Below are 12,691 nucleotides of genomic sequence, written 5' to 3'. Positions count from 1 at the left end.
ACATGAATTCACAAATGGAAGAAACACAAGATATACCAAACAGGGTAAGTAAAAAGAAATCCACACTGGACACCTCCTAGAGAAAACTGCATAATCATAAAGGCAAAGAAAAAAGTCTTTAAAACATCCAGAGAAAATGAGATCACCTGCAAAAGGAAGATAATAAGGCTAAAAGCAAACTCCTCGACAGCAACAATGGAAGACAAAGAAGGGGAATGACATCTTCAAAGTTCTGAGAGAAAATAACTGTCAGTCTAGAATCACATCCCCAACAAAACCACCTTTCAATAATTAGGGTTTATCTTCTGAAAACAAAAACGAAGAATTTGCCACCAGCAGGCCTACACACACACAAACAAAACAAAACACTCTAAAAGATGTATTTCAGGAGAAATGAAAATTATTCTGAAAGTGGTAACTAAAGTGTACAAAGGAATAATGAGCAGTCTTAAATTTATTTGCCCTTAGTGAAAATAGCTTCAAAGCATATAAAGCAAAAGTGGATAGAATTCTGACAAATCAACAATATAGTGAATGAGTTCAACACACCTTTCATTGGTAGGTTAAAAAGACAAAAATAATATAAAGAAGATTTGGATAATATAATTAGCAACCTTGAATTTTTGAACATATGTAAAAATGGGTACTTGGCCAGGCGCGGTGGCTCATGCCTGTAATCCCAACACTTTGGGAGGCTGATCACCTGACATCTAAAGTTCGAAACCAGCCTGGCCAACATGGCGAAACTCCGTCTCTACTAAAACTACAAAAATTAGCCGGGTGTGATGGTGTGCTCCTGTAATCCCAGCTACTTGGGAGGTTAAGGCAGGAGAATCGCTTGAACCCAGGAGGTGGAGGTTGCAGTGAGCCGAGGTTGAGTCACTGCATTCCAGGCATGGAGACAGAGTGAGACTCTGTCTCAAAAAAAACAAAAACAAAAACAAAAACAAAAAAAAAACCCCAGCAGCACTCAACAATTGGGTGGACACACACATTCTTCTCAAACACACATGAAGAAATTACAAACACTGATCACATATTAGGCTAGTGCTGTCTTACACTAACTTTGATGAAACAGCAAGGATTTCGCAATTTGGAGGCAACTTTTAATCTTGAAATAATTTCAAACTTATAGAAAAGTTGCAGCAGTATAAAGAACTCTCTTATATCCTCCAAACAGGTTCATCCATCGCCAATATTTTGTCACTTTTGTTTCGTTATTTTATCTATCTATCTGTCTGTCTGTCTGTCTGTCTGTCTATATCTTTTCTGAAACATTAGGGAGTAAATTGTAGATATCATGACTCTTCATCCCTAAATAATTATGTTGGTATTTTCTGAGAACCAAAGTATCCTCTTACATAACAACAGTGCAATTATCAAAATCAGGAAATTTAACATTCATCCAATACCCCTATCTAATCCACAGTCCCTACTGAAATTTCACCTATAGTCCCTACAGTATTCTTTAGAGCACCATCTCCCCCAAGATCCAATCTAGGACCATGCATTACATTTAGTTGGCAGGTTTCTGGAGTCTCCTTTAATCTGGAACAGTTCCTCAGTCTTTATCTTTTAAAATCTTGACACTTCCAATAAGTACAGGTCAGTTACTCTGTAGAATGTCCCTTAAACTAGGTTTATCTGATGTATCCTCATGAAGAAGATGAATAGGCTGGGAGACTTGGCCTACAAGGTATCAAGTATTATTGCAAAGCTATAGACATTAAAAAAAATGAAATATTCACTAACAGAAAATAAAGTATAGCTAAACAGATCAACATGGATGAATCTTAGAAACATGTAACATATTGAATGAAACAAAGCCAAGTCACAGAAGACTAGAAGCAATATAACATCATGGCTGAGGCAGGAGAATGGCGTGAACCTGGGAGGCGGAGCTTGCAGTGAGCTGAGATCGCACCACTGCACTCCAGCCTGGGCGACGAGCGAGACTCCGTCTCAAAAAAAAACAACCCTTAAAATCAAGTAAAACAAAAAAATATTTTTAAGAATACCTCTAAAATGTAAAAGGATTATTTTTAAAAAGATATGAGAATACTGATGAAAAAAGGAAAAAAAATTTTGGTAGAAGGCCTTCTAGTGGAGGGGCAGGTTGATGGGAAAGGGACACAGTTGATAGGACAGTACGGATTATGTTCTAGTTGTTACACTGGGTAGCAGGTTATGAAGTTCACGTTATTAAGCTTCTTAATTGGTTGGGCACGGTGGCTTATACCTGTAATCCCAGCAGTTGGGAAGGCCAAGGCAGGAGGATCTCTTGAAGCCAGGAGTTTGAGACCAGCATGGGCAACAAAGTGAGACTCTGTCTCTACACTTTTTTTTTTTTAATTAGCCAGGTGTGGTGGCACACACCTGTATTCCCAGCTACTCAGGAGGCTGAGGCAGGAGGATCACTTAAACCCAGGAGTTGGAGGCTGCAGTGAGACAATCTCACCTCTGTACTCCAGCCTGGGCAACCAAGGGAGACCCTGTCTCTAAAAGTAAATTAAGCTTCTTAACCTACATCGGCTTTCTTAATCTTGATACTACAGATGTTTTGGGTTGGAAAAATCTTTGTTGCAGGGGCTGTCCTCTGCACTGTAGGATGTTTAGCAGTATCCCTGGTCTCTACCCACTAGATGCCAGTGATACCCCCCACCACCCCACCCCCAGCTGTGAAAACAAAAAATGTTTCCAGACATTGCCAAATGTCCCCTGCAGAGCAAAATTGCTCCCTGGTTGAGAATCACTGATCTACATATATGTTATATATACTCTTGAATGTTTTAACTATTCCATAATAAAATTAGTTTAAAATTGACGGGTAGAAGTTTCACTCTGTGAAACATAATCAGGAAGACATCATTAAGAGCTGAGTAAGCCAGAGCCTGCCGGAGTCCTTTGAAGTGACAGTGCTGAGCGGTGTGAGCTGACAGTTTCAGGAGGGTTTTGACTAGCAGATGATATTTCTATAAATTGTACTGGGTATCAGAAATCAATGACTCTACACTGGAGAAAAATGTCTGCAACCTTTCTTAATTCTTTGGGAGATCTAAAAGCTTAGTTTAGCCTTTTAGGACACCATTTAATTTTTTAAAATCAATTATGGATTTTTGAAAATGGGGCTTTGTGTTTTTATATAAACCCTTTCTTCCAAGGTACTGAAAGAGATTCATATATTTCCTTACCTTTGGGGAGTTGTCTACGTCTGTAAAGTCATCACATATCTAACAGTGGCCCCCAAATGACTGGGAAGTCTCCAGGAACATGATCCAGAGAAAATAACACTGCCGTTCTAGGATGATGCATGTCTGACAGCCCATGCTCACTATTGTAACCCATTAACCTTAGAGCCTCCCCAACTCTGTGGCTTTACTTGATAGCACCTATCTGGATTCTTTCCTTCTTTCCTTCCTTCCTTCCTTCCTTCCTTCCTTCCTTCCTTCCTTCCTTCCTTCCTTCCTTCCTTCCTTTCCTTCCTTCCTTCCCTTCCTCCCTCCCTCCCTCCCTCCCCACCTCTCCCCCCTCTCCCCTTCTCCCCCTCTCTCCCCCTCTCCCTTTCTCCCCCTCTCCCTCTCCTTCTCTTTTCCTTTCTTTCTCTCTCTCTCTCTCTCTCTGTTTCTTTCTTTCTTTCAGACGGGGTCTCGCTCTGTAACCCAGGCTGGATTGCAGGGGTACCATCAAAACTCACTGCAGCCTCAATTTCTCAGGCTCAGGAGATCCTCCTACTTCAGCCTCCTGAAGTGTTTAATTAGCCATCATGCCTGACTAATTTTTTTGAAAAATGTAGAGACAGCATCTCACTGTGCTACCCAGGCTGATCTTAAACAACTGGGCTGAAGCAATCGATCCTCCAGCCTTGGTCTCCCAAAGCGCTGTGATTACAGGCATGAGACGGCAAGCCCAGCCACCTATTTGGTTCTTATATTTGTACTACAATTCCATTTAACTCAGATGGAGAGAGTTTATTACCTTCATTTTTAAAAATGGAGAAACATAGACACAGAGAGGATACATGACTTTTTCAAGATAACAGAATCCAGAGTTAATTGATTAGAAATCGAACTGGCATGAAAATCAGGTGTCTTGAAGCTTGGTCTTTATGCTTTTTTTTTTTTTTCCTAAACCAGGCTCTGAACTACGTTTGGACATGTGTGAGTATGTTCATGCAGATGTGTGTGCATGCACATGCACGTGCACACACATCTGTGTGTCTGTGGTTTGGGGATATATGTTTGTTTCTCTGTGGATAAGGTGTCAAGGAGAAGACAAGGCAAAGGATTAAAGAGAGGAGCTAGGAGGAAAGGCGTGAAAGAAAGAGCATGAGATTGCCAGGGTGCAGTGGTGCAGCCCTATAGTCCCAGCTACTCAAGAGGCTGAAGTGGGAGAACTGCTTCAGCCTGGGAGCTCAAGACCAGCCTGGACAATATAGCAAGACCCCAATCTCAAAAAATAAAATAACATAAAAAGAGTGTCAGATTCAGAAGATGCCTTGGGCAGGAACTCTGTGGGTCTCAGTTCAACAGTAAAAGGTTATAGAATAATTGCAAGAATCTTCTACAAATATTAGTATTTTTTTAGTAGAGCTACTCAGAAGGCTGAGGCAGGAGAATTGCTTGAATCTGGGAGGTGGAGGTTGCAGTGAGCTGAGATCGTGCCACTGCACTCCAGCCTGGGCAATAGAGTGAGACTCCATCTCAAAAAAAAAAAATACATATATATATATATAAAAAAATATATATAATATATAAATATATAAATATATAAAATATATATAATATATAAATATATAAAATATATAATATATATAAATATATAAATATATATAAATATATAAATATATATAAATATAAATATATATAATATATATATAAATATATATAAAATATATATAAATATATAAAAATATAAAAATATAAATATATATAAATATATAAAAATATATAAATATATAAATATATACAAATATATATAAATATATAAATATATAAAATATAAATATATAACTATATAAATATATATAAAATATATAAATATAAATATATATAAAAATATATACGTGATTGCCATTTTTAGAATTATTATTAAAATATAATGTAGATGATAAAGCAACCCTCGTGAGTAGGATGACTCACATTTTCTCGGCACCACTCTTACCATATGTCCAGCTCAGAGGAATATTCAGTGGCTCCCAGCAAAGCATCAGGGGGCCGGTACCAGAGGGTCACGACTTCTGAAGAGTATGTCTGGCTGGGAATGGACTTGGCCCGGGCAAGACCTGTCCAAAAGGGAAAAGCATAAAACCCATCGTTCTGGACCTTGGCTTGCACCATGATGCACTGGACCAGGGTAAACACCATTAGAAAAAATAACACACAAACTTTAGGTGCTTTTAGTAGAACTAATCACTATCTTGACTCTTGTCTATCACTTCATCAAGTGAATTTCTCAAATTTTGGCCTGCTTTGCAGCTAGATGTGGCCTTCTTGGCAGCTGGGTGTGGTCAGGTGACTAAGTTCTTGCCTATATGATATGAACAGAGGTGATGTGTGAACTTCCAGATTATGCCTTAGTGGAGGGGTTAAGGGTTCTGCTTCCCTTTTCTCCCTCCTCTGGGCTGTGATGAGCAGGAAGTGGCAGCCATCTTGAAACATACAATTGGGGATGGAGGAGCCACGTGACAGAAGCAGCCTGGGCCAAGATAGCATGGGGCCACCATACATGCTCTGCCTGCTTAGGTCAGGACTGTGATGCGAAAGAAAGTTAAGTTTCTAGCATGTTATACCTCTGTAATTTTGGGTCTCTGTAACAGAAACTGAGCTGTTCATGACTAACATGGCCACCTTCCGTTTTGGCACTCCAGGAAAGCCCAGTTTAGTAGATAAACGGTAGGGACTGCTCATCCAAATTAATTAGTTTGGTAGGACCTTAGATGAATTTCTAAGTACTGTTCTGCAAAATGAGTCTTTCTGTCAGTCAGCTGTTTATCTCACAGAATTGCATGATCTATTGTTGGGAAAAACTTCAATAGATGAGTTTGCTATTGTGGAGAATTGATAAACAAATATCTGTTAAATGCTTACATGTCAGGATAAAAGCTGCCATCTCAGAATAAATACTGCAGTGATAGTATCACCATTTGGCATCTGCCAAACAGAGAAGAGTGGTTCCTTAGCTCACATAGAGCCAGTTTTTCAACAAGTACTTATTAAGCACCTACTATGGTACCAGGCACTAAGGATAAAATGATAAGCAAAAACAAACCCAGGCTGCCCTCATTATGCTTACAGTCCAGTTGAGACAAAATCATCACGCAAATCTATATATATTTGTGTGTGGGGGTGTGCTCACACATGTATATATATTTGTATGTATGCATGTATGTATTTATGTGTGTGAATATAATTATAAACTGCGATAAGTGCTAAAATGGAAGGATACAGTGATACTTAGAGGAAATCTGCTTCACTTTAATGGGAATAAAACTTTGCATCTCACACTTATATAAAGAAGGTAGGAGAGCAGGAACAAGTGTCCTGGAGTCTCCATCCTGACAGGAGTCCATGCTACAATCTGGGGTTAACCTCTTTATCATCTTGGGATAATCTCAATCTATTCCAATATAATTTGTATATTCACTTAGATTTAGGAAAACTTACTAAGTACAGTTTACTCTACCAATGTCTCTATATCAAAACTGGCAGTGGGGCAGCAAGGGTGCCCAGCTTTTGGCCATCTGACTAAACTGGGACTTGGTGGAATCCTAGAAAGCTACCAATCCCTCCCTGTTTCGTGCCTCACACTTCCTTTGTGGTAGTTTGATATCCTCACAAAGCATCATGTTCTTGGGCCTCCAGTTTTCAAAGGCCAGGCCCAGTCAACGCTTAAACAAGTGCACACAAAAGCATCATTGTTCACAGCCCAGAATGAGACCCGAGGGGCGACTTACCAAAATCAGCCAGTTTGAGCTCTCCCAGGTGACTGATGAGTAAGTTCTGAGGTTTCAGGTCCCTGTGAAGAACGTGTTGGTGGTGGATGTACGCCAGGCCCCGCAAAAGTTGAAACATGAAAAGCTGGAAGGAAGAAACACTATCCATAAGGAGATTTGAGCCACCACGTGCTGATTTCGCCTCTAAATCAAAAACAGTCATCTCAAAGAATATAGTAAAAGTGTCTCTTGAGAGACCAAAAAAAAAAAAAAAAAGAAGAAGAAGAAGAAGATTTTTACATTCAGAGGGGGAAGAAAAAGGACAAGAAAAGTCAAGTAACTAGACTGTGTCCTAAACAAAGGGATTCTGGCTTTTCCTGACATCTCATTTCTTTGATACTGAAGGAATTACCCTTCTTTAAAAATCTAAAGTGAAACTTTGAAGTTTCCTTTGGAACACTAGTTATTGATTTAGATGTGAAAGATTTAATTTTTTTCCCCACCGATGAACTTGGCATATAAGATCAAAGTTGACCTGGAAATGATATTCTAAAGTTTACAACTGCTTAAGTTTTCCAGGCTCTCCAATATGAAACCCTTTTAAAAACACAACACAAGGAGACCACACTAAAAAATATATCTTTAGATGGTATTAGAAAATAAAGAAATCTTTATCTTTTTAAAGCTATTTTTAAAGTCTTAAATTCAAAGTTGAAAACAAGGGAAATACACAGTACAGATGAAAAGGGAAGAGAGACCAAAATAAGTTAGACCCCCCCCCTCAAAAAAAATCAAAAAAGAATAAGGAACAAATTGTAGGAGGAAGAAGGGAGAAAGGGTAAATGGTAGTGGTGGAGAAATAAAAGGGAAAAACACATTCTGAGCCCCAAATTAAAAATGTTTCATGTGGTTATGAGGCACAGAAACCAAAGCCATTAACTAGGTTCCCATCACTACAGAAACTTACGGGAAAAAAAGAATGCTTAGTATTCCAAGTATCTTTTGCTATTTTCCAGTGCCATTGGCAATTGAGAATTCAAACACCAACATCAGTATTTACAAAGACGTATGTCAACTGAGAACGTGTTCTGGCAGTTCAGAAAGGAAGGGCTAGGCCCAGCATTCCTGGGACATGGGCAAAATGGCAGATGCAGAGTTATGTGGATTAATCCTCTTTTTCAACAGCATCTTAGAAAGCTAGGACTTTCAGAGATGCTAGGACCAGTATTGATCTAACAAAGACCTGGAGACATTGGAGCCAAATGGTCCAATGGAAGCAGGAGCATGGAGAGTTTACCTACCATAGCATACCTGCAGCTATGCAGGTTTCATGTAGCTACCACATCAGGTTCATAAACCATTTAAGTATTTTAAAAATTTCTTATGACTCCTAGTTCAAATGTTAACTGGTTCTATGAATCTTCCCAGCATTTTCTCTTTCTGATGCTTCAAATATACACACATTATTCATTTTACCATTCACCAAGCCACGAAGCTTCCATAGCACAAAATTCCTACACTGACATTTAAACCTTCTGATTGGTTATAAATATAAATGTCCATGGAAAAGGTAATACAAACAACCAGCTTAAATTCCAGGTAAAAGACAAGAAGATATGATAGTATGTGCTTAAAAATACGTTTTTCAGACTGGCGCAGTGGCCCACGCCTATAATCCCAGCACTTTGGAAGACCAAAGCGAGCGGATCACCTGAGGTCAGGAGTTCGAGACCAGCCTGGCCAATGTGGTGAAACTCCATCTCTACTAAAAATACAAAAATTAGCCAGATGTGGTGGTATATGCTTATAATCCCAGCTACTCGGGAGGCTGAGGCAGGAGAATTGCTTGAACCTGGAAGGCAGAGGTTGCAGTGAGCCAGGATCGTGCCTCTGCACTCCAGCCTGGGTGGCAGAGCAAGACTCCATCTCAAAAAAAAAAAAAAATGTTTTTCAATATGCAGGACTAGGGAAAGAGGAAGAGGAAGACAGGTGGATAGAAGACAGGAAGCTGGTGACCAGTGAGGGATACAACCTTTGGGATAGCATGCTTATCCTCAGTTTACAGAGAAAACCAGGGCTCAATGTAACTTTTAAAACATGTCTAGGAATAGTCAGAGCCAAGACTCAAATTCAGACTTGTCTGACTCCACTATACCATCCTGAGAAACTAGAGAAAAGACAGAAAATGAAAACATGACAGGGAAGGAGAGAGCCAGCTGGCTGAGTCAGAGACAGAGCTTCTTAGTAGGTCAGCTTGAAATGCCTTTTATGTCCCAAGTGTAGACTATTTTCACTAACTAGCCACAGTCCCTTCCCACATTCTTGCCATTCAACCCCTTTCCTCTCTGCCAGATACGTCTACAGGCATTTGTGAGTGGTAAAGCACTGCGGTATTAAGGTATGGTATTTTATAACCACATTTCTCAAAATTGCAGTCTGTGCTGACAAACCTCATCACCCACTCACCCTTTCATCCCTTCCAACCTGGATTCTTCATTCAACACTACAGAAGCTTCACCAATTATTGCATCCTAACATAACCAAATATGATGGTGTCTGCACAGTTCAACATCAGCCAGATCGTGGGTGACTCTTTCCAGAAAGGCTTCCCAGATCCCAGGAGTTAGACCTGTTTCCAACTCAATAAGTTTTGGGGGAACAAAATAATTCCATTGAACTAGTGCCATCTGGGCCAGGAGTTACTCAAAAACCAATGAGATCCGTTAGCCAACTCCTTATAGGGAAGCCTGAGTCCTTCCATCCCCCCTGGAATCCCTGGGACTCATTCTACTAGAAATCTGAAACAAGATAACCTCACGAGGATTCCCACCCTGTCTTCCTTGGTCACAACTCAAAATATAAGCCTCTGACTATTCCTTTTCCTCCCAACATACTCATCTCCATTCTGTTCTGTGCTTCCTCTGTTTAGCTTCATATCTATTGCTCCTCTCTCTCCCAAACATTTTCACTGTTTAGTCTCCATTCTTCAATCCTGCTTTAAAAACTACCTAAAAGCTAACCTCTGGTGAATTTCCTTTTGGCTCCTTTCCTTAAATGAGACCTTGAGCTCACTGCTTCCCTATAATATTCTCAAGTGGATGTTAGTTTTTCTATAACTTCCTCATACCTTTGACCACTGACAAGTGTCATAAGCTGCCTCCCTTTTCCCCACTACCACTTCAAAACCATTACTTCTCTACTTTTAAGTAAAAACCCCTGTCCCTTGGATTTTAATGCCATCCAGCCACATCTTCCATTACTCTTCTTTTAGCGGTCATTCACTGAACTCTCAATCCCTCTCTGTCATTCACTGAAGATGTGGGCACTTGGATCACAGCTGTTGACTCCATGACATTAGTGCCCATGAGAACAGCTCTAGCCAACCTCAGCTCCAATGATCTGCTTCTCCAATCCACTTCAGACACTAACTCCCGTGGTCACACACTAGATCTTGCCATTGTATGGAACTGTTTGTCCTCTGAAATACAAAATTCATCCCCCTATAAAAATGCTTTTGCAACGATTGTGTCATTCACAATGTTTTTTTACCATGGTTTCCCATGACTTTTCCTATGAAATCCAATGGATACTTCTTATTCCTTATCTTTGCAGCATTTGGCATCATAGACCATGCCTTCCTTCCTGAGGCACTCTCTTCTTTTGGTTCCACAATCTCCTAATTTTTCTTCTGCCCCTCTGGCTGTTCTTTTTATAGGTTCTACTTCTACTAAAATCTAATATATTGATATTCTGGCCAGGCGCAGGGACTCACACGTGTAATCCCAGAACTTTGGGAGGCCAAGGCAGGAGGATTGCTTGAGTCCAGGAGTTCGAGACCAGCCTGGGCAACATAGCAAGACCCCATCTCTATAAAAAACAAAAATAGGCCAGGCACAGTGGCTCATACCTGTAATCCCAGCACTTTGGAAGGCCAAGGCAGGTGAATCACTCAAGGTCAGAAGTTCAAGACCAGCCTGGCCAACATGGTGAAACCCCGTCTCTACTAAAAATACAAAAATTAGTCAGGTGAGGTGGTGGGTGCCTGTAGTCCCAGCTACTTGAGAGGCTGAGGCAGGAGGCTCCCTTGAACCCAGGAAGCGGAGGTTGCAGTGAGCTGAGTTTGCGCCACTGCACTCCAGCCTGGGCAGCAGAGCGAGACTCCCATCTAAAAATAAATAAATAAATAAAAATAAAATTAAAAAATAAAACATAATAAAATAATAAATAATAACTTATTGTTATTCTTAGGGTTCCGTCTTTGATCTTCTGTTATCACTCTACACATGCTCCCTTAGCTATCTTACCCACTGACAGTGCTCTAATGAACAACCGTATTCTGATGATTTCAAAATCTTTATCTCCAACTCAGATTGCCTTTCTACTTTAGGCCCACACAGTCTGGAGCTCGCCTGTACATCCCATAATCACCTCAAACTTAGCATGTCTAAAACACAATTCATGGTATCTCTCCAAAATAAATTTTTCTTTCTGATTCTCTATCACAGTGAATGGCACCATCATCCATTTTAATACTCAGATCCAGAAAAAAATATCGCTGACTCTTGTTTTTCCCGTCAGTTCCGGCTAAGTAATTGGTCTCATATCTGTCCACTTTCTCCCACCATCATCTCACATCTGTACCACTGTGGTTCTGATTAGCCTCACTGTCAAGGCTGGAACCTTAACAGACACCAGCATTCAGGGAATGAGTAGAGGGAGAGAAGTTTTCTGTGTGAGTAGGGGGAGAGAGGTAGAAGAAAACAAGGAGAAAGTAGGGTCAGGGGAATATAACATTTCAAAAAAAAAGTATTGCCCTCATCCCAATCTATTCACCACACTGTCATCAGTGTAAGCTTTATAAAAAGAAAATCTGAATTTATCACCTCTTTGTTTAAAACCATTTAATGGCGCCTGATATAAAATAGCACGACTGTGATATTGTGAAATATATATTTGATCTTCAACTAAATTCCTGACAGCCAACTCCTAAAATCCTTAGAATCTCCAAAGTGATGTCTTTTTGTAGAGTTGACTGATAGCTGGCAGACCATTGGGTAGCTTAGGATAGGGACTGGTCACTGGAAAGACCAAGGCATGATTAGGGAGGGGAGAGGGGTTGAAGGTTAAGTTGATCACCAGTGGCCAATAGTTTAATAAATCATGCCTACACAATGAAGCCTATGCAAAACCCAGAAAGATTAGGGTACAGAGACCTTCTGGATAGCTGAACTCTCATGGAGGCTTCTGGAGGGTGGCTTGCCTGGGATGGGCATGGATGCTCTGTGCCCCTTCCCACATTCACTGATGCCTCCACCTTGGAGAACTCATCCCTACTCCCACCTGCTTTGATTTGGATAACCTCTTCCTTTGTGCCTCCATATACCCACAATAAATTCCTTTATTTATTAGTGTGTCCCTCACAAATCCACAAGGTCAATGCATCAAGAGTATGACTTTTAGCTGTATTCCTGATGCTTGTAATACTGTCCACCATACCCTCCTTCTTGAAATTCTTCTTCCCTTGACTTCCATGACAGTGTGTATTTTTTTTTCAGATGCTCTACATTCCTACAAGCTGCTTCCCTTCATTCCTTCATTTCCTGTTCCTCTTCTCATCCTAAAAGGCAAAAGTCTCATCATCAGTCCTCCTCTCTTTGTGTATTTGCTCTTTTGGTTGCCTACTCCTTGTCTTCTAAACTCTATGTGCTGATGACCCTCAGATCTACACGTCGAGCTCACAGCTCCCTTCTGAGCACAGAT

At 40.3% G+C, this 12,691-nt stretch overlaps 1 protein-coding gene across 13 annotated transcripts in view; it reads right to left on the bottom strand.

The window, feature by feature from the left end:
* The window catches only part of CDK15 (cyclin dependent kinase 15), an 89,122-nt gene that overhangs the window by 54,627 nt on the left and 21,804 nt on the right, over positions 1–12,691 (bottom strand). For 12 of the 13 annotated variants that reach the window (XR_922991.3, NM_139158.2, NM_001366386.2 and 9 more), the window contains 2 exons: positions 6,953–7,076; positions 5,161–5,281 (listed from right to left, as the gene is read on the bottom strand). Coding sequence is in view for 12 of the 13 variants with exons in the window: in NM_139158.2 (NP_631897.1) it covers positions 5,161–5,281; positions 6,953–7,076 (245 nt within the window). In the remaining variant the exon portion in view is untranslated. Of the gene's footprint in view, positions 1–5,160; positions 5,282–6,952; positions 7,077–12,427; positions 12,613–12,691 lie in introns of those variants that run through there. The other variant, XM_011511657.3, reaches the window with a different exon arrangement.

Source organism: Homo sapiens, chromosome 2 (assembly GCF_000001405.40).
Source record: "Homo sapiens chromosome 2, GRCh38.p14 Primary Assembly".
Lineage (NCBI taxonomy): Eukaryota > Metazoa > Chordata > Mammalia > Primates > Hominidae > Homo > Homo sapiens.
The sequence above is the reverse complement of the archived record's forward strand: the minus strand, read 5'-3'. Positions and strand labels throughout refer to the sequence as shown.